The sequence below is a fragment of the Homo sapiens genome, chromosome 21 (assembly GCF_000001405.40).
Source record: "Homo sapiens chromosome 21, GRCh38.p14 Primary Assembly".
Taxonomy (NCBI): domain Eukaryota; kingdom Metazoa; phylum Chordata; class Mammalia; order Primates; family Hominidae; genus Homo; species Homo sapiens.
The window spans coordinates 34,059,209-34,079,915 of NC_000021.9; the positions used below are offsets into that span (position 1 = coordinate 34,059,209).

The 20,707-nt window shown below is 44.3% G+C and overlaps 2 protein-coding genes across 2 annotated transcripts in view, besides 6 other annotated features; both read left to right on the forward strand.

Annotated features, from left to right (window-relative positions):
• Positions 7,596–8,112: an enhancer, noted in NCBI's record as "H3K4me1 hESC enhancer chr21:35439104-35439620 (GRCh37/hg19 assembly coordinates)". NCBI's record gives its function as "activates a minimal SCP1, AML or CMV promoter by ChIP-STARR-seq in primed H9 embryonic stem cells {active_cell/tissue: H9 hESC(primed)}" and the evidence as "EXISTENCE:reporter gene assay evidence [ECO:0000049][PMID:30033119]".
• Positions 8,869–8,970: a silencer, noted in NCBI's record as "fragment chr21:35440377-35440478 (GRCh37/hg19 assembly coordinates)". NCBI's record gives its function as "represses an EF-1alpha promoter that drives an FKBP-Casp9 reporter gene in an ReSE screen in phorbol 12-myristate 13-acetate-treated (for megakaryocytic differentiation) K562 erythroleukemia cells {active_cell/tissue: K562(+PMA)}" and the evidence as "EXISTENCE:reporter gene assay evidence [ECO:0000049][PMID:32094911]".
• Positions 13,818–14,337: a silencer, noted in NCBI's record as "silent region_13266". NCBI's record gives its function as "represses an Ori minimal core promoter by ATAC-STARR-seq in GM12878 lymphoblastoid cells {active_cell/tissue: GM12878}" and the evidence as "EXISTENCE:reporter gene assay evidence [ECO:0000049][PMID:35858748]".
• Positions 13,818–15,231: a biological region, named in NCBI's record as "H3K27ac hESC enhancer GRCh37_chr21:35445789-35446739".
• Positions 14,281–15,231: an enhancer, noted in NCBI's record as "H3K27ac hESC enhancer chr21:35445789-35446739 (GRCh37/hg19 assembly coordinates)". NCBI's record gives its function as "activates a minimal SCP1, AML or CMV promoter by ChIP-STARR-seq in naive H9 embryonic stem cells {active_cell/tissue: H9 hESC(naive)}" and the evidence as "EXISTENCE:reporter gene assay evidence [ECO:0000049][PMID:30033119]".
• Positions 14,370–20,707, forward strand: part of MRPS6 (mitochondrial ribosomal protein S6) — a 69,453-nt gene continuing 63,115 nt past the window's right edge. Inside the window, exon 1 of the mRNA NM_032476.4 lies at positions 14,370–14,537. Coding sequence (NP_115865.1) covers positions 14,493–14,537 — 45 coding nt within the window. The 5' untranslated portion in view covers positions 14,370–14,492. The remainder of the gene's footprint in view (positions 14,538–20,707) is intronic.
• SLC5A3 (solute carrier family 5 member 3) overlaps positions 14,370–20,707 on the forward strand; it is a 32,683-nt gene continuing 26,345 nt past the window's right edge. Inside the window, exon 1 of the mRNA NM_006933.7 lies at positions 14,370–14,537. The gene's annotated coding sequence lies outside the window, so the exon portion shown is untranslated. The remainder of the gene's footprint in view (positions 14,538–20,707) is intronic.
• Positions 14,628–15,027: a silencer, noted in NCBI's record as "silent region_13267". NCBI's record gives its function as "represses an Ori minimal core promoter by ATAC-STARR-seq in GM12878 lymphoblastoid cells {active_cell/tissue: GM12878}" and the evidence as "EXISTENCE:reporter gene assay evidence [ECO:0000049][PMID:35858748]".

The following is a 20,707-nucleotide window of genomic DNA, read 5'->3' on the forward strand; positions in this document are numbered from 1 at the left end:
GTGCTGCAGGCTAACACTGATGGAGCCGGGCACTGTGTTAGAGCCAAATTAGAGCTCCTTACATCCCTTCTGCTCATTAGGATCTGCTTCTTCTCAGCTCCTGGAGTGCCACTGAGCCTTCAAGTGGAGTCAGGTTTCCCCAGCTGTGGAAAGAGGGGACATCTGGGGAATAAGAGTCAAGCAGAGCTTGGTGATCTGAATCAATTTTTCTTTTAAAGCATTGGGCCTTTGTAGCAATAATGGCAAACCGCTATTAAGCACTTCCCACACTGCAGGCTGCACTGTACTTTCCGTGTATTGTGTGTGGTATATTGGACACGACCCTATGCCTTAGGTCTGATTATGTTACAGATGAGGAAACTGAACCACAGAGTTCAGTTACTTGTTCAAGGGTACACAGTCATTGGACACAGGCGGTCTGGCTTTGGCTCCATGCTCTTGACCACCAAGCTGTACTGCTGCCAACTAGCCACCTTTGGTGAGACCTGCTCTGCCTACAATTCTCTTGGATAGTTCTTCTCTTGGAAGCAAGAATTTGTATGCCATCACTGTACTCTCGTGGATTCAGATGGATCTGAAGATGGATGTCAAGTGAGATTCCTCCTCCTGATCAGAGATGGTGGTATCTGCTGTCACTTGAACTTGGCATGTGTGTCCTCAGGATACCTGGGCTATGGGCTAGCCATCTTCCATGGTGGGCATGTAGAGGCAGAGAGTGCTTGTCTCCAAACAGACAAGATGGCATGGGGAGGGTGGGGTGATGTCAGACACTTCATGAGCAGAGCAGAGACAAGATACATGTAGTCCCAGAGAAACCAAGGATGTCTTGTCTAGTTCCCCAGGAGCCCTGGATGTACGTTCTGTTACTGGATTCTAGGATGCACTCTTGAGTCCTTTGATACATCCTTGTTTTTACTTTTTTAATGTAATAATTACAAAATGATGGCCAATGAGATTGGCGAAAATATAAAGAGTGTTGCAAATAGCACTCATTCAACGAATCCTAATCTTTCAGCAAAGAGATTAGCCTGGTGTGTGTATGTATGGGTGAAAGTGTGCATGTATTTGTAGGATCTGCCCACTCAAATCAGGTGATGAAAAGTTGACAGAGGTTTCAATTAAGATTGACATAAGGTGAAATTTGAAAGCCACCCAGAAAACACATGATACACTGTTATGAAACTAAATCCCAGGGCAAAGATGTGGGCACAGAGGGACTCTCTTGACACAGCTGACAAGTTCCAACTCTACTATTCCAACTCCAGTATTCATGGCTGCTCAGGCAAAATCATTCTGGAAGTACAAAGCACCTGTGTCCAGATTTGGTGTTTACTTCTCTACCAAGAACTTGAATTTGTAACTGAGTCAAGGTCCTGAATCTGCCACCAGTAGACTCAGTTCACTGGAGACAGCAACTCTCTTCCCCTCAGTTGGGTAAGGGACTTTGCAACCCTGGGAAAATGTAGAGACTAGTGTAGAATCAATGAGGAGCAGAATCAAAACCAGAATACTATCATATTTTACTGATTCTAAGGTGCACAGTGTTTTACATTTTACCATCTTGGGAATTAGAATGCATTTTACAATCGATGGCATCAGGCCACGCACAGTGGCTCACACCTGTAATCTCAGCAGTTTGGGAGGCTGAAGCAGGTGGATCGCCCAAGGTCAGGAGTTTGAGACCAGCCCGGTCAACATGGCAAAACCCTGTCTCTACTAAAAATACAAAAATTAGCTGGGCATGGGGTGGGCACCCTATAATGCCAGCTACTCAGGAGGCTGAGGCAGAAGAATAGCTTGAATCTGGGGGGTGCGGCATGGAGGTTGCAGTGAACCGAGGCTGTGCCACTTCACTCTGGCCTGGCAAAAGAGTGAAACTCTGTCTGGAAAAAAAAAAAAAAAGAAAAGAAAGAAATCAATGGCACCATATGATTATAAATGGTGATCTAAAATAAAAGTTGAAAATTTCCAAAAAATTATAAATGTTTGTGTTTTTTCTACCTTAGTGATATCCTAAAAAAAAAGTTGAATCTTATATCTTAGATTCAACAAAATATAGCACTCTGCTTTAGTTAGTTTAACTGTCTCTCCCAAAAAAAGTGTGATGAAAACTTAATTCCCAATACAACAGTGTTGTGAGGTGGGGCCTAATGAGAGGGTGATTCAATATGAGAATCAATAAAATATGACAATACTCTGGTTTTGATTCTGCCCTCATGAATGGATTAATGCTATTATTGTGGGAGTGGGTTCCTTACAAAAGGATGAGTTTGGCCCCCCCTTGGCCTCTGTCTTGCCCTTCCACTTTTTGCCATGGGATAACACAGCAAGAAGGCCCTTGCCAGGTGCTATCTTCTTGATCTTGGACTTCCCAGTTTCCAGAACTGTGAGAAATAAATTTCTATTCATTATAAATTACCTAGTCTGTGGCATTCTGTTATAGCAGCAAAAAATGGAGGAAGACACACTCTTTTTGTGGTAAGGTTAGGAATAATTTTTAAATCATCACTATAATCTTTTGGTTATTTAAAGAGATTGGAACATGGAAGAAAATCTAACATAGTAGACAGCCTGGCATATTACACTTGCAATTTTAATTTGAAACATTTAAGAGGATATAATTAATTGAATTTGTAGACAGTCTTTGGAAGTTGTATTATTGGGGTACAATCTAACCACAAAATGTAATGGCTCAAAGATGATAGAAGTTTATTTCATTTTTTGTTAACAGTCAGTAGTGAAATGGTCCAGAGCTGGAGGCCAAGCAGCCTTGTGATTTGAGGTCTTCTAAGGAATTGGTTCCTTCTCTCCTTTGGTTCTCCCTTGGCCTAGGGTGTTATCTTCATAAGCATGGTTGATGGTGGCTCACTACCACATCAACGGGAAGTGGGAAAGAAGAAAGTCTATGGCAAGTGTCTTTAAGGAGATGCGCTCATTGTAGCACACATCATATCTGCTCATATTCCATTGGCCCAAACATAGTCACATGGTGACAGCCAGCTGCAAAGGAGCTTGGGAAATGTAGTCTGTGGTTGTGTGGTCATGCAACTAGTTAAAGCTTAAGGGTTTTAGCTAAAAGGAAAAGAGGGGAGAATTAACACTAGAAAACAGTCGATACTTATCCACCATGAAGCTTAAGAGAAGCTCATTCCCTAGATTTATTAAATTTCAATAATCGCTTAAAGGCTTAGAAAGATCTTGTCAGGTTTATGAGTTTGCCATATCAGGTTGAAGTGTTTTAGAGAATCAGATATATTTTAATTTCAAATGCACTAAAAATGTCTTAGGAAGTTTAATAAAGAACAGAAATTTATTGTCTCATAGTTCTGGAGTCTGGGAAGTCCAAGATCAAGATGCTGGAAGGTTCAGTTGTCTGGTGAGGGTTTGCTCTCTGCATTCAAGATGGTGCTTTTGAGTGCTGCATCCTCTGGAAGGAGGAATGCTGTGTCTTCACATGGTGGAAGGCAGAAGGGCAAGCAAGGTGTATTCACTCCATCAAGCCCTTTTAAAAGGGCACCTAATTCCATTCTAGATGGAGGAGCCCTCATGGCCTAATCATCTCTTAAAGGCCCCACCTTTTATCACATTGGCAACACATGAATTTTTCAAAGGACACATTCAAACCATAGCAGAACCTTTGGACAGGTTTCTATTACTTATGACCAAAAAACCCTGAGGAAGACAGTTTCTCCTCCAACCCCCTTATGTTTCTATGTGTCTCTGTGTCACAGAGCTCACAGCTACATTTCTAAAATTATGACAACTCTCAACACATGCATGAATGGAGGAGACACCCATGGTACCCATTGGTTGCCTGTCTAGCCTCCCCTTTGCTGCAAACTGTTTCTCCTTAGCTATAACCTCCCAAATTTGTAGGGTTCAGAGGTAGTTATTAGCAGCCACAGTGATATGATTTGATCTACTCTTTAGACCTGGCTGATTGGCCCAAGGGTGGACCAATGAACCAGTTTAGGCTAATCAAGTGCCAATTGAAGGAGAGCCTTGGAGTATCCCTTGGTGTTTAGAGGGATTATATGTAGACCAAGGAGCTGAGAATGGCTATCATCTATTGTGCAGATGGGAGAGCAGAGAAAAAGGGCCCTTTCAGAGAGAGAAGAAAGCTGACTGGCAGAGAAACAGAAAAAAAATGTGGAGAGCATCTTGGTTCTAGTCAGTTCCTGAGACTGTCAGCTGCATATTGCCTCGAGTCCTGGGAGACATCCGGTACACTTATAATAATTTATCTAGAGTCAGTTTCTACTATTTGTAACCCACAGAATTCTACCTAATACGCCTGAAAATATATTAAACTCATTGTGTAAAGCAATCTTGTGAGTTTTGTTTTCGAGAGAGCTACTTAGTTGTCTCAATTAGTGGAAAATTCCAGTGCAGATCTGACCTTTGGGTTTCAGAGTACAGGGACTGATCCAAGGCATGTGCCCTGGTAAGCCCAAAAAATCAAGCTTACCTAAAACTCAACTCTTTCAGTAACTCTAGCCTGATAATCACTGCAAAATACCCAACAATGACTGAGTGTTAGAAAGTTATAGGCAACTAACCATTTTTGACTTGTATAACATCTTATTATACTTAGAATAACTTATAGGGTGATATCCAAATTGCATTATATGGTCTATGGCATAGACTGCTAGTTTACCGTACTCTGCAACGTAAAGCTACATTTCCCAGCCTTTCTTGAAGGCAAGGCAGGTCCACAGGAAGGACAAAGTTCTGATCCATGGAATATGAGTGTAAGTGATGGGTTCAACTTCTGGGCCACTTCTTTAAAGGGAATTACTCAAGTCTTTTTTCTATTTTGCCATACTGTTCCTGGAATGTGAACATGGTGCTGGGAGCGGAACAGCCATAAAGAACCATGAGATTTAAGCCATGTCTTGTAAATAGACAGCAAGCTGGAAAAAGCCTGAGTCCCATGCCCTGGTTACATTCAGATCTTTCCACGAGAGACAAAGTCTTGTTTAAGTCACTGTTACTTTGACTTTTGTTTCAGTAGCTGAACCAGTACCCTGGCTATAATATAGTCTTTGCATGGGAAAACAAAAAAGGAATGACTTTTATTGAGTCACAAATGGTCTAAATGTGGGCAGTTGTGCACTCTTGGAAAAAGCACCCAGGCTGCAGAAACAACTTAGCCCATGTGAGATGAGGAGTACCCATCTCACAAGGTGGAGGAACAAGGGAACATTTAGCCCAGAGAAGGGAGGGCTCAGGATAGACTATAAAACTGTCTTCAGACACAGGAGCTCATGTGACAGAGGGAGTAGACTTGTGCCATACGGCCCCAGGGGTCTGAACTAAGACCAATAGGTTATGCAGGAAACTGAAGTGCTATGACCCAAAGAGTTCTGTCAGTCAGGGTTCTTGGCTATGAGCTACAGAAACAGACTCTGTGTAAAGCAAAAAAGAAATTTATTGAAATGATATTTGGGGGAATCACAGAATGGACTAGAGACCAGGGGACTGGCCAGGAGCCAAAAGCACTCTGGAGGGCTGGTAACCAGGAAGATTGGAAGCCACAGGCATGGAGCAGCAACGGTCTGGCCAACATCATGAGTGACTCTAACTGTTCCTCATGTTGTCCACTCAGGATTCAAAAGCATGGGGGAAGAGTCTGATTGGCCGCAGTTGAATGTCTTCCCTTCCTTGACTAAATGTAGGGTAGGAAAGGGGAAAATTTGGCTCTGTTGACTCTGGTATGAGAGTCAGGCACCACCTCCAAGAGGAACCAAGATGCTATGAGACAAATGTCCTGTGCTACCTGCAAAGATGCTTTTGAAGCCCATGAATCTGTGACCAGTGGCTCAGAATTGGGAAGGACTTGTCTATTCAACAGTTAGCTCCTTTCCTACTTCCCTCACATGCGCACACACTCTGCTGAATGATTCTGGTGATGAAAGGCTGACTATCTCCCAAGTTCTTCCTCATGTGAAGATGAAATCAAGGCTGGGAGTTTAGACACTGCCTGGCGCTTAAGTCCCTCCCACTTTGGTCTCACTTTTGTAGAGTTGAGTCCCGTGATTCTCTTACTGAAAACTTTCCTCCTGTCAAACTTATTCACCCCATGTCACCACCCTCTGACCCCACCAAAACATCTTGTGCTCATTCTCTTTCCTCTTATTTGTAAAATGTTATCCATTCTTCACATTCCAGCTTAAGTCCCACATCATACATGAAACATTCCTGAACCATCCCAGTTCAAAGTAATCCCTCTCTGGAAATTTTTGCCCTTAATCTTGATTAGACAGTTAATCACACTCTTTTTTATATGTTTTCTATTTTTTAGAATAGATATTTCAATCTTGTTAGGACAATTTAACTGTAAACACATTTATATCTTCTCTTGCTACCTAGATTTCTTACGCATCTTTGCATCTCCTGTAAACTATTTCTTATACTTCTTTGCATCTCCTGTAGAACTTAATGGGACTTTTTGTTTGTTTTGTCTTAATTGACTTGAATACCAGAAGTGGGTGTGATCTTGATCCTTTTATCCAGGAATTTGGGGAAGGGGAAACAGAGGAAGATGAAGATAGATGTACATCAGACAAACCAAAATGACTTTCCTCTGAGCATAATGATGTGAATGACTTATATTTTTACAGTTTTGAGGTATAATTGATGTATAATAAACCATACATATTTAATGTATACAACTTGATATGTGTATATATAATCCATGAAACCATTGCCCTAATCGAGATAATAAATATATCCATCACGCCCTCAGTTTCCTTATGCCACTTCATAATCTCTCTACTTCATTCTGACCCCAAGCAGCCATTGATTCATTTTATGTCACTATAAGTTTGTATTTTCTAGAATTGTATATAAATAGAACCATTTAGTATGTACTCTTTTCTGTCTGGCTTCTTTCACTAAGCATAATTATTTTGAGATTCATCCATATTGTTGAATATATCAACAGTTCATTCCTTCTATTGCTGAGCAGAATTTCATTGTATAGGTATATCACAATTTGTTTTTCCATTCACCTGTTGATGGTTATTTGAGTTGTTTCAGTTATTGACTATTACAAACAAAGCTGCTGTGCACATTTGTGTACAAGTGTTTGTGCGGGCACATGCTTTCATTCATCTTAGATAAATATCTAGGAGTACAATGGCTGGTCACATGGTAGGTCTGTGTATAACATTGCAAGAAATTACCGAAATGATCACACAATGTACATTCCCATAAGCAGTGCATGTTTCAGTTGCTCCATCTTCCCACCAGCACTTGGTGTTTTGAGTCTTTCTAATTTTAGCCATTCTAATAGGTATGCAGTGGTATTTCATTCCAGTTTTAATTTGTATTTTCTTAATAACTGATGTTGAAGATCTTTTCATGTGCTTATTGGCCCATCTTTGATGAAGTGTCTGTTCATTTAAAATGTTTAAAAAATGGGTTGTTTTCTGTTTTCTTTTACTGGGTCTCTTTTCAACCATGGCTGATGATCACGAGGGCATTCTCCCATGTAGATCAACAGAACCATGTCCAGTCAGTCCCAGCAACAGGGGGTGGCATGAGCCTCACAGATGGCTGGACTTTGAGATGACACCTGCATGTTGACTGTCTTACCAGGAAGTGTTGCCTGGCAGTGTCATGACACTTAGGTGGGGACCCAGTGAAGGTTTTGGGACTGACCCCCTCCTCTTGGTTAAAGCCCCGAATTAAGAGACTATTAGAGAAATAAGAGTTACTACCTCAGCTCCTCAGAAGATGATCATGTTGCTATGAAGACTGATGAAAATAAAACATCCAAGAAGAAATGCTAATGAATTGAAGTGTAATAGAAGCCTTACATTAGGAGCTGTGGAAATACCAAAGGTGCATGTGGCCAGAACAAAGGCTAGTTGGTCAAGAATGTTTCTGGAGAAGAAACCCAAGACCGTAGTTGACACTGGCCCCATGAGCTGCCCCTCACACATCTCAGCAGTCGCCAAGCCCTGTGGTTCTGGTCTCCACCGCTCCTCTCTGCAGCCACCACAACGCCCTCCTCTGCATTCCAGAGCAGGCACGCTTGCCCCCTTTGAAGCCTTCTGGGCCTCATCTCCTTCTGTCCTTTCATCTCCAGCCTTAAAACTCCATGCTGAGTGGGCCTGGCTCACCCAGCTCTCCCCGCCTGGCCCTGAGGACTGCCCCCCAGTTGATTTTGCGGGGTCCTCCCGAGGACCTTTGTTTAGCGCCTGGCCAGGGAGGCCCAGCCCCTGGAGACCCCTGCCCACCGCAGCAGTCTCTGGTGCCTGGCCTTTGTTCCCTTTACTAAATCTAAAATGCTTCCACATGTGTTCTTCTGATTTTGCAGTCGTGGAGAAAGAACATGAGGCTGTTTAATACCTCCAATTTCATTGACATTTAACATTAAGAACACTTGTGGGCCTGTTGGGGGACACTTTACAATCTTGTTATTAGGAAAAACTCTTTCAGCAAGCAGTGATGCAAGCAGTATTTTGTCTTTTTAAAGTCATAAGAGTTTTTAAAAAAATTCTCTCTTTCTTAAAAAAGATATTGTAGTAGAAGAATATCTCTCAAAAACATCCCATAATTTTTTTTTGGCAGGATAGGGTGAGATGGGGCTGGGAATAAGAGAACATGAGATTTAGGCAATCTTTCCTTTACCTTTTTTCTTATAAGTAGAGCCCAAGTTGAACCACACCCCCACCGTTGATGAAAGTTAGAAAAATAATCATGAAATTGGTGGATTAAAAGAAAGAAAATGTTTAAAGAGCTCTCCAAATGTCCGCCCTAAGAAGTTCCATACAGTATTCCATTGTGCAAGGAACACAACCAATAGCACTTACAAGCTGACAGAGTTAGAGAGGTACAAATTAGCCTATGTAGCACCTGGGGGCTTATGGAGAAGAAAAAGAAGAATCAAAGCAAATGGGCATGGCCAAGAAGGTCTGAAAGGTGGGTGAGGGTGAGTGTAGGGGGATCAGGAAATACCAGCGGTTTCACTGATAAAAGTTACAAACGAAATACATTTGAAATGTGACTTGCATTTGGGCCATTGGCTGAGGAACACAGATACATACAGGGCAGCAAGGCAAATAAATGGGGTTTTACAGGCCCAGGTCCTAGGAGTCAGTTAGGGAACAATCCCAGGACTTAGTGATGCAAAATTGGGGAGTTGGAGTATACTTTACCATGAATGGAGGCTCACTTTTATCTAGGAGAAGATGACAGGCTGATGAGAGTGATGACTGACAGCTTAACAGATGATTTGGTGCTACCTTGGGATCACTGTCTCCATTAACTGGAAACAGTCACATTTCGCCACTTTCTGGGGGCAGTATTTAGAGACACAAGGTTACCTAAGCAGAATGATGATTTGTGCTTATCTTACCTCTTCCCAATGACTGTTAGAACTCACCTTTTAGGGCCAGGTGCAGTGGCTCATGCCTGCAATCGCAACACTTTGGGAGGCCGAGGCAGGCGGATCACTTGAGGTCAGGAGTTCAAGACCAGCCTGGCCAATACGGTGAAACCCCGTCTCCATTAAAAGTAGAAAAATTAGCCGGGCATGGTGGCGGGTGCCTGTAATCCCAGCTACTAGGGAGACTCTGTCTCAAAAAAAAAAAAAAAAAAAAAAAAGAAAAGAACTCACCTTTTAGAATACAGGAGTATCACACTCACAATGGATTAATCCATTAGCAACAGTAAAACTGCCATCATGGCATCATGGCACGCAGTGCATGCCTAAGAAGAATATGGCAAGCAAAAGTTTTTTCTTTGAATTGTGCCACCCCAGGGCTCTATGGCTTTGGATAAATAATGTACCTTGTTTTTGTATCAGATTCCTTATCTACAGACAAGGAGATCACTCATTTATTCACTTTCCACTGCCCACCTGTACTGTTAGGGTAAACCGGGATTCTGGCAGGAAAGATCAGTTTAAGGCTGTTTAGAGCCAAACTCCAATGCACTTGGATCATGGGAACTCATGTTATGGGCAAGTCTTGCCTTAAATCCTTGCTGCTGAGACACCTCCTTGCTTTGCAGAACAGCGCATTCAGGGACAGAAGGGGAAAAAGGAGCCAGACACAGGGACCAAGGAGACAAAGGAAAACCCCAAGAGTACAGGATCATGGATGGCCAAGAAGAGACCCTCAGGACTGCAGAGAGGTCCCTGACGATGATGCCAGGGAAACTACTTGGTGGACAAATGGAAGGCCAGTGGTGACAGTGTGAGGGAACACAGAGTGCAAAGGCTGGAAGATGCAGTGGGTCTGGGGATATGTGGCTGTGAGAAGAAGAAAAGAATGACAACTTGAGAGGGTAACAGGGTTATGACGAGGTTTTTCTTCCCCCTAGCTAGAAGAGACCTATATATGCTTCATGGCAGCAGGAAGAAGTCTGTGCAAGGGGAGAATTTGGCCACTTAAGGGAGGGCATTATATGGGTGCAAGGAGTGGGAGACTGCCATCACCCAGGGAAGAGGACAGAGTAGGACTACAATAAAAGTTGGTTGATCGACAGATAGTTGCTCAGTTTGCGCTGGCTGGTAAACATAATGCTGTATGGTATTGGGGTTAAGCGTGCAGGCTCTGAGTTCTGCATAATTTGGGGCAAGTTGCTGAGATGTTTATGAAGTCTCCTTTTCCCTATATGTAAAATGGGGGCAGTTATAATACATATCTTTGTGGTAAGAACTGAGAGTTAATACATGCAAATAATTTAAAATAGGTTCTGGTTCATAGTTAATGCTCAAAATGTTAGACTCAGTAATAAAAATAATGGCCATCTTTGAGGATTAACGATTGAAAGCTCAAGGTCAAGTCTCATTATACAGCAACATAAAAGAAGAAGGTAAAGGTGATTAAACTGACCCAGGGCATATCTTGAGGTTCCTTTTTTACAAATAGGGCTGGATTTCAACTTCTGTTCTTATTCTTCTTTCCTATTCCCCCTCAAAAAAACTTACTTGAAAATTAATCAAACTTCTGGTTAATCAAATCTTAAACACATACCATAATAAATGTTTTGGAGAATCTAAGAGAGTCATTTTTAAATTAATATATCAAATGCTGCAGTAATATATTTCTATTATGCTGACTATACATAGTATAAAGTTAAAAATTGTTTTGGTGAATTTAAGTTTGTAGTTATAGTAGGAAGACACTAAATTTGCAACAGCATTCCTCGTGATTTAAAAAAAATCTTTTTTTTTTTAAATGAAGCCACAAGCATTCTGCTTCTGTGCTTTTTTATTTTTTATTTAGTTTTTTGAGATGTAGTTTTGCTCTTGTTACCCAGGCTGCAGTGCAATGGCACGATCTTGGCTCACTGCAACCTCTGCCTCCCAGGTTCAAGCGATTCTCCTGTCTCAGCCTCCCAAGTAGCTGGGATTACAGGCACGTGCCATCATGCCCGGCTAATTTTGTATTTTTAGTAAAGACGGGGTTTCTCCATGTTGGTCAGGCTGGTCTCAAACTCCCGACCTCAGGTGATCCGCCCGCCTTGGCCTCCCAAAGTGCTGGGATCATAGGCGTGAGCCACCGTACCCGGCCGCTTCTGTGCTTGTTAAAAAAAGGTTGAAGGGGGAAAATCACAGTAGCTGCCCTCTCTCTGCTTTTAAGAAATGGAATGAGTCTGTGGGTGGCTACCAGACTGGGAGGGCTTGGGGATGCTGACTCTGTGGTGAGGTATTACGCAGTCAGGTTAATTTCCTTATACCACTTGTCAAGTTAGAAGGAGTAGAGAAGATGCCAGGTCTTCACTCATCCCTGGGCATTAAGGGAAAACTAAAGAGCTTCCAAGAGGAAATGCTCTGAGTTGAAGTCAGCTCATTGCGCCGCCTCAGTGTTTGACTTGGCATATTACTACGGGGTCTTTATTTTCTCATTACTAAACTGGGTCATGTAATTGACAAGACAGGGGACAGTCGGGGTGGGACCATTCTAGAAAATCTGTAACTGACTTTTTTTTTTTTAATGGAGTCTCGCTCTGTCGTCCAGGCTGGAGTGCAGTGGCGCGATTTCGGCTCACTGCAACCTCCGCCTCCTGGGTTCAAGCGATTCTTCTGCCTCAGCCTCCCGAGTAGCCGGGACTACAGGCAAGTGCCACCGCACCCAGCTGATTTTTGTATTTTTATTAGAGACAGGATTTCACGATGTTGCCCAGGCTGGTCTCAAACTCCTGACCTTAGGTGATCCACCCGCCTCAGCCTCCCAAAGTATTGGGATTACGGGCGTGGGCCACTGCACCCAGCCTGTAACTCACTTCTGAAGGTCCAGAAATTCCTTGTTTCCTTCTGTTATTTATAGTACGCTACTTATTTAAACCAAACATGAAGTTAATTGACACTTAGCCAGGCAATTTGGATTACCTGTGTGGCTTCACACAGGTATGGGTTGTAGACAAGTCTAAAAATAGAAAATGTTAAAATCCAGCTATCTCAGAAAAACTTGGGTTCATCTCCATCTCCTACCTCCCATATGTCACAAATAGACGCATGGGATGTGAAATGGTAACCTCTGGGTAAGGTGACAAAGGTACTCTAATCTTGGCTTACGTGGACTACACGGTTAATCCACTGAATAACAATCAGCATCTTCATCTGTGTGGTAGGAGAACCGGAGGTCAGAAGGGTAGAGGGGCGGCTAAAAGTACTTTGTTTCTATTACTGTATGACCTTGGACTAGTTACAAAACTTTTTGTGCCTACATTTCCTAATCCCTAATATGGGGTTAACAGTGCTTGCCTCTGTTTAAAAAAATTACTCAGTGATGCTTACTAAAGCATGGTAAGAAAGACTTTATTCAGGACCAACGCGATGGGTACAGGGATCAGGGAAACCCGGGGAGAGAGAGTGGGCTCCAATTCTGAATGCAGCGTCGGCAAGTAGAAATTTATGGCCATGTAAAATCACTAAGAGTAACCATCGGGGGAAGAGGGATTCTGGCTCAACCGATCTAAAGGATTCTTGTAGAACTCAGGCCAGGGTGAAAAGACATGACTGGGGGATAGAGGAAGATGAGGAACCTGATCTGCTATGAGGGGATGGGGGTTCTGTGCTAGAACTGGATTTTACAAGGAAGTGCACAGATGGGCCTAGCATGAGATTCAGAAGCCTGACTAAAGTTTGGCCAAGCAAAGAATCTTTGTCACCTCAGGGCTGTTGTGAGAATTTTAGGAGACACATCCACCAGCCTTGGCATGGGGCCTGATGCAGAGTAAGTGTTCACTAAACTTTACCTATTAACGTTAAAGCACTTTAAGTTGACAAACACTCCACGTACAGAGCTTTTAATGGGGCAAACAAGGGGCAGAGGCCTCAGCTGCAGGGTACTCAACCTCTAAGGAAGGGCGCTGGAGAAAACTGCACTTGCAGAGCCCCTGGCTGGAGGGCGGAGAACCATGTGGGTGTAAAGGGATGGCAAGGGCAGAACGTATGCCCCTGCCCACCTTAGACAGTTGCTAAAGGGTCTCCCAGGCACTCAGCCTAGCCTTTAAGTGAAAGCGGAGGAAACATTTAAAGAAATGAGATAGAGTTAAGGTGTTCGCCTGCCCTCCGCTGAAACACGTGGGGGCAGGTCAGGGGCACACCACAAATGCCCGTATCGCGCCTGTGTGTACCAGGCACCGTCCTCGGAGGTTAACGTGCAGTAACTCACTCGGGTCCCCACTTTCGGCACAGGCAGCAGGCCCAAGGTCACGCAGTGCCAAGGGACTGAGTCAGACCCGAGCCCGCGCGCCGCGGCCCACGGCCTGTGCCAGCGCGCTCCTCGCCGGGTAGGGGGCCTGGTCAGCCGCGTCAGACCTGAGAGTTGTGGCTGGGGGCGAGAGCTGCACCCCCCTACCGACCCCGGGCGGGAATGTTCCAGAACCCCTGCGAGCAGCCGTTGGCCGCACAGCCCCCGGGCCGGCCGCGACCCCGCCTTGCGCCGCGAAGGTCCCTAGCTCCGGGGAGTCGCGGGCGAGGGGCACGCGCACGGACGAGACCGCACCGCAGCGCACGCGCACTGGCGGGCACTCACTCGCCCGCCGCCCGGGAGGAGAAGGAAGGCATGGAAAGTTCCAGCCGGTTCGAGAGCTAGGTAGCAGGCATGGCAGGAGGCGGGGTAGGGGCAGGCAGGGTCGCGAGGGGGCGTGCGGCCGCCGCGAGCCGCTCTGGGCCGCGTCTGCAGCACCGCCCCTAGCCGCGGCCGGCGGGCTGGGCTGGGGTCGGGGCGGGGGCGGTGCGGCGGGTGCGGGGCTGCGGAGGGGGCGTGGCGGCCGCCCGCGGGCGGAGAGGGGGCGGGGCGGCGGCAAGGCGCGCGGGCGGGGCGGGGCGCGCCGAGGGGGCGTGGCGCGGCGTCTGCGCAGCTGCCAGCGCCTTTAAGCCCGGGCTCGCGCTCTCGGACCGTGCTTTCGCCGCCTGGGAGCCGTCCGGCGCAGCAGTTTCTAGGTCCCCACTGTCCCCGCCGTCCCGCCCCTTCGCGTCCCGGGAACCGGCTGGCTTCCGAGCCGCACTCGCCGATCCTCCAGGCATGCCCCGCTACGAGCTGGCTTTAATCCTGAAAGCCATGCAGCGGGTAAGTGACCTTCCCTCAGAGCCGGTCTTCCCGCGCGGGCGCCCCCGCTGCCGCTAGGCCGCCGTCCCCCGCGCGCCCTGGCCGCGGGACCCCGGGCCTTCCTGCACTCCTCGGAGGAGGCCGGGGCGGCGGGCGGGCGGCGGGCGTCCGCGGGAAGGGGGCGCGCGTGGGCCGGCCGGGCCCGGCCGCGTGCGCGCGGGAGGCGGGGGTGTGCCTGCGCGTGTGCGCGGTCCGGGAGGGTGTGCCTCGCAAGCGGCCCGCCGGGCGGGGGGCGGGGCGGACCGAGCGGGCCCCGACCCCGATCCCGGCGCCGGCCCGCGGGAGTCCAGTGGAAGGTCCGCGGGAGGACACGCGCGGGCGCCCAGCCCGACTCCGGCCCGTCCCCGCCAGTCGTGAAGCTGCCTCGTCGCCGGCCCCGCCGCCGCCGCCTGGTCCGTCCCGCTCCGCCGCCCGCCGGCTGCCGCCGACCGCCTCCGCTCTAGCGCCCGCCGGCCGCCCGGAACGTCCGCGCCCAATAAAGCGTTCCTCCAAAGCTTGTTTGTGCCGTTGTCTGTATTCCAGTCTCTTGCAATCGCTCTCATGTTAAAAAAAAATCTTTTGACTTTTCTTTTTCTGACTTCAGCGAAAATCCCGCTCCGGGTGCCCTTAGCCCAGTTTCATTCATCCAAGTTGTGGCCTTTCTTGCGCCTCCAGAAGACACTTTCTTCCCCCTGCTTTTGATTGATCTTGAGGTAGGGGATTTCAGGTTTGGAGGGATGCTAAGCGAACCAGCGGCCCCTTTCAGGTGACGGCGTGGCCAAGGACAGGGGCCCGCGGCCCGGAGGCAGCTCACTTCGTCCTCTGTCCTGGGTCATGTACTCCTCAAGTCGTCGCCGAAATCCCCATTCTCCCGTGAATTCGGAATTCGGTAACGTAGTTTGGTGTTATGTTTTTTTTTCTCCACCAGGTGTAATAAAACAAAAATCATTGTACCACGTCCGAACTTTGTAAGCACAGCTTCCTACAGCGCTAGAGGAGTGGACGCATTTTTACGTTTGAAATTAGGCTCCAGGTCAATTGCGAGGAGTATTACCAAGTTTGGTTGAACTTAAGCTCAATTGATAAACTAACAATCACGGAGCGTCGGGAGATTGTTAGGAAGTGTGCTTTGCATATTGTTAACTGGGAAGGGACGCCAGTGCCTCTCTATGAGGTCCAGACAGCCTGGCCAGGCATGCCATTGTGTCCCCCAGCTTGTTCTTCATGGATTTGGAAGAAGTTAAGATAGTATCTGTTCAGCCTCTTGAATATCCCTTTTGGCCCTCCTCCTTGCTTACCAGCATATGTAACTCCGAAAGGATAGGAGCAGTGAAAACAAAGCATTATTAAAAGGGAAGATTTTTAATTAGGTGGAAGTTGTTTAAGCCCTCCCTTCAACTTACGTGTTTTAGGGAATGTGGAACCTGGGAAATTCGTTACTGAAATTCCTTTTGTTTACTTTCCTTGTCTTGGGGAGGTAGCAGGTGACACTGAAAGAGGCAACCTGTAGGCAATAATATTTGCTCATTCTGTAACCCTTTGAAACCTTTGAAATGAAGACTTGCCCTCCCCTTTGTTTTTGCCATAGTTGCCAAGTATCTTGGTTAACATGGCTGCAAGTATTAAGTGTATTTCTTTTACCATTTTTTTTTATGTCCTGTAATAACATAGCCTTTGGATGTGGAGCACCCATTTTTCACTCTAGTTCAGATCAACAGAGCGTAATTTGGTTAAAATAATAAATAACCTTCCTTGAAATCTTCGCATGAGGGAAGGGGGGCAAAAAAAAGAAAAAAAGCCCTAGAAAGTAGATAATAAAGGTGAACTGCCTCTTGGAGAAAGAGGCCCCATGGCAGTAGATAGAAGGTTGTAACAGTGGTGACTTATGTACAATGGCGAAGTTATGTTGAGGAGATCCTTGACCTAAATAAAGTAATATTAAACAATAGCTTCTCAGTTATTTGTTCAAAAACCTATCTGTAGCTTGTAAATGTGGCACAAACACAAAGACTTCCAGGTTTTAGACCAGTTTGCTTGCTTTCAGTTTAGGAAAATAGGATTCTAAAATAGGATGAATGTTTGGGGGGAAACGAATTTAAAAAGTTAACTCTAGGCTTATGAAATGAAAAATGCGACTGTGAGCTTGCACACCGGTAGCAGGCCTTGGAGAAACCACAGTTCTAACCCGAGGCACTTTGTGCTTCTGTTGCAAGAAGGGTATTGAAGCTCCTCAGTTCAAAGTTGCGTATCTTCCACGTTTTTAGATTCTTAAGTGTATACCTCTTTACCCCTTTAATATGATGTATTTTCCTTTCCTCCCCAAATCATTTGTGCATCTTGGAATTGAGGAAAATGCTGTGTTAGGCAACTTTAACAGCGGATATGGAAGTTAAGAAACTATAGTTTTCCAGCCTTTGGACTCCCAGAGCTGCTCTCCTGTTTTTTCTCCGCAGTACTCAGCCTGGAGAGCATTCTTAGTCTGTTTGGAGAATATTAACTCCTCCCTGTCCTCATTACTTTTTTTTTGACCCTAGCTTGACTCCTTTAAATTGAGCTTGCAAAGTTTTAAAATTTAAAATACAGGCCCTGTGTTGGCTGTCACAGTATCTGGATTGTAGCAAAGTCAGTTGCGGGAATGCCCATTGAAAGATTTCAGAGTGTATTATGTAGAGTCAGTCATATTGAACTATACAGTTGTACAATTAGTCACCCAGAAATTCCAATACTATGTTTTTCTCAGTTTGCAAGTAGAAGTTGATTATGAGTATCTACTTTTGTACTTCCAAGTTTGGGCATTTAGGAATGTAGTTAACTAGTGTTTCTAAGAAGAAATTTATTTTCAAGTACCATATAGCTTGATTTTTAAAAAAGTGTGTATATAAAAAAAGTTATTTCTATTTTCTGTTTTAGCGTGAAAAGTAGGTAAAAGTGTGGTTAAATTCTGAAATATGACGGTAAAGTAATGGATGTTGTGAAACTAGGCCTTTAAAGGTGACAAGCAATTTGAAAAACCAGTTGTTTAGACCAGTCTTAGTTCATATTTATAGAAGAGTCTCTGGAATAAAAAGATTTTAAAAGTCCTGTTACACCCATATCAGATAGCATCAAGAGAGTTTTATTCACTTCTGGAAAACACAGTATTCAAAGGCTGTAATGTGAAAGGACATAGCCGCAAAGGAGAGACCAAGGCTGCAGTCCCAGGTAGCCTCATTTCAGTGTGAGGAAGACCTCTGACAATGGAAAAAGAAATGGATTGCCTGTGAGATGGTGAGGTCTATATCCACCTCCACCCTGCCCCCCCTGCAATGAGAACTTTGAGGTAGATGAGGAGAAGGGGTCATGTGTTTGGTGAGTGAGCTCTCTTGTGAGTGGGAAAATGGTTGAAGCCCTTTGGTTTCACTTGATAATTAGATTTTAAAGGTTGGTATTTCAGTTAGGTAAAAGACTGAAGTGCCAATACATGAATGGTAAAGCCGCATACTGTATAATGTAGAGGAGCTTAGGAAAAAAATGAAACTTTGTAGACACTTTTTATGCCTTGGGTATACAGGAAGAAGAAATCTGAGGAAAGAAATCTGTGCAATACATAAGTATTTTGTGGTTACTTTAGGAACGCTAATTACGTCTCGTGCCCTTTTCCCAGAAGGTGTTCACAGTTGGCATAGATTATGAAAGCCCTGGGATAATACTTTTCCTGAAATCTTCTCATTGGCGTTCAGGAATTTTTACATGAAGAATTAAAGGTTAATGGCTTAATAACTAATTCACTTGCTAAATGATTCCATTGCATGTACAATAAGATAGCATTTATATATATATATCTTCATATGTTTTTCTAATAGGAATAAAGAAGATAGCTATTTTGGAAATCTTAAGTTCTTATTAAAACAAACAGTAATTTTTATGTTTAATACTCAACGCAGATTATATTTTACATTTAGATAACTCATTGAAATAGTACTTTGGTAGGGTAAGGAGTTTTGTGTAATCTGAGTTTGAGTTCTGACTTGGTTTAATTTGAATATAGAAAAGTATAATCAGTTCCTAAAATGTAGAAAACAGTTGGTTTTCTGGTAGAGTGATGAAGAGTTTTTCTCTAAATGCAAGCCTTTTTTGATTAGAACACCTGGCAAAAGTTTTGTATTTGTTCTAGAGTTCTATTCAAGTTAGGATGTTCTGAAAGTAATGCCTATGAAGTGCCTGTATTTTAGATACCCTTTGGAGATGGAGGGTGCTAATAAACTGAAGTATGAGTCAGGTCAACCCTAGGTCCTTGTAGTTTGCTTGGCAAGCATTTGATAACTAGGAAATAGTGAAGTTTCTGCTGTGTGTTGGTGGGAGACATCAGTTCAAACGGAAACATCTAGCTGTCAAGTGGTCTTTTTTTTCTTCCCATGGGCCCTCCCTAAACAGCTTAGCCTTGTATCTTTAATAATCTCTCTTTGTGTTTTATCTGCTTGAAACCAGGCAACTTAAAATAGTTACCTAGTAATGGAAGACTTGACCCTGTGAACAATGTTATACTTTCATTTGGTATTAAATTTTCTTGGGTTACAGCTTATTGCCGCAGCAAGCTATTGAAGAAGGAAGGAGTCCTGTTCCTGCCCCTGAGCTACAGCTAAGGTACAAGGAATGGCTTGGGGGTAAGGAGTCCTTCCTCACCAGATATGGTTTGTATGTATGAAGACTGCTTGTCAGAAGTTGACATTTTGCACTAATTTTTTTTCTTAATTCATGACTCACACATTCAATACTGATGTTTCTAGATTTTAAAAATCTAGGTTATATCTAGTATTATATGCAGACTATTGAATCTTCTAACCTTTTAGATTATAAAATCAGTTTCAAAAAATTAAGAGTTCAAAAGCAATGACGGGAAAATTCTGAAGTAATATTTTTCATCTAGTGCCTTTGCTGTGTTTGTACTACTACATGTTTAACTCATCTAAAAGAAACCTGGAATACCATAATGGGGTTTAACATGAAGGTGGAAGGAAGGGTAGAGAACAAATGATAAAATACTGTGTGATTACTCATGTTATAAAAAGTTGTTGCAATTTGATTATCAGACTTTTCCTATTTAATGTTCTTAGCTTTGTGTTAGAATTTCCAATATACTCATGAGTTTATCTGTTTTTAGTGGAAGGCAATATTTTTAAGACGTGTTATCAACACATGTAGTTACCTCTTAGGGGAATCCTTACTTAAGGAATTAGTCAAATGAATGTCTGGTAAGTTATCAATTTGTCTAAAGGAAGAACTACCCTTGGGTTTGGAAAGTGACAGTTAATTCAGCCTCTTATCCTTTTTGTTGCTTTGAAATTAGAGCAAGAGTTGGCAGCCTGTGGCTTCCGGGCCAGATCTGACCTGTCACCTATATTTTTGTGGCTTGTGAAGTAGGAAAAGATTTTACAGTTGAATAGGTGGGGAAAAAAACAGCAATACTTTATGGCACTTGAATTTCATAAAACTTTCACATTTCAGAGTCCATAAGTAAAGTTACATTGGAACATGACCCTGTTCTTTTGTTTATATTTATTATCTAGTCCTTTACAGAAGAAATGTGCCAGCCCCTGATTTAGAGTATATAGACACAATTTTCTAGGTGCATCATTTTTCTTGGCTTCTTATGCTGCTGTTTTCTGATGTTACTCCCTTGATTTCTCCCTTCTTCTTCTTTCTGTTTTTTTGAGACAGAGTCTTGCTGTGTTGCCTAGGCTGGAGTGCAGTGGCACGATCTCGGCTCACTGCAACCTCTGCCTCCTGGGTTCAAGCGATTCTCATGTCTCAGCCTCCCAAGTAGCTGGGATTACAGGCATGCGCCACCAGACCCAGCTAATTTTTTTTTTTTTTTTTTTTTTTTTTTTTTTAGTAGAGATGGGGTTTCACCATGTTGGCCAGGATGGTCTCAATCTGACCTCGTGATCTGCCCGCTTTGGTCTCCCAAAGTGCTGGGATTACAGGCCCTCTTCTCTTTATGTACAATTCCATTAACCTTCATGTGGATGATTTGCCACCTTTTTTAACAAGCTGACAACTCTGGCATTTTCTGTTCTCTTCTGTGCTGGTTATGGCCTCCTGGGTATCCCCTTGGCACTGCAAACTCAGTGTGGTTAAGAACTTAATGTGTTGCCTATCCCCAAAGTTGCCTC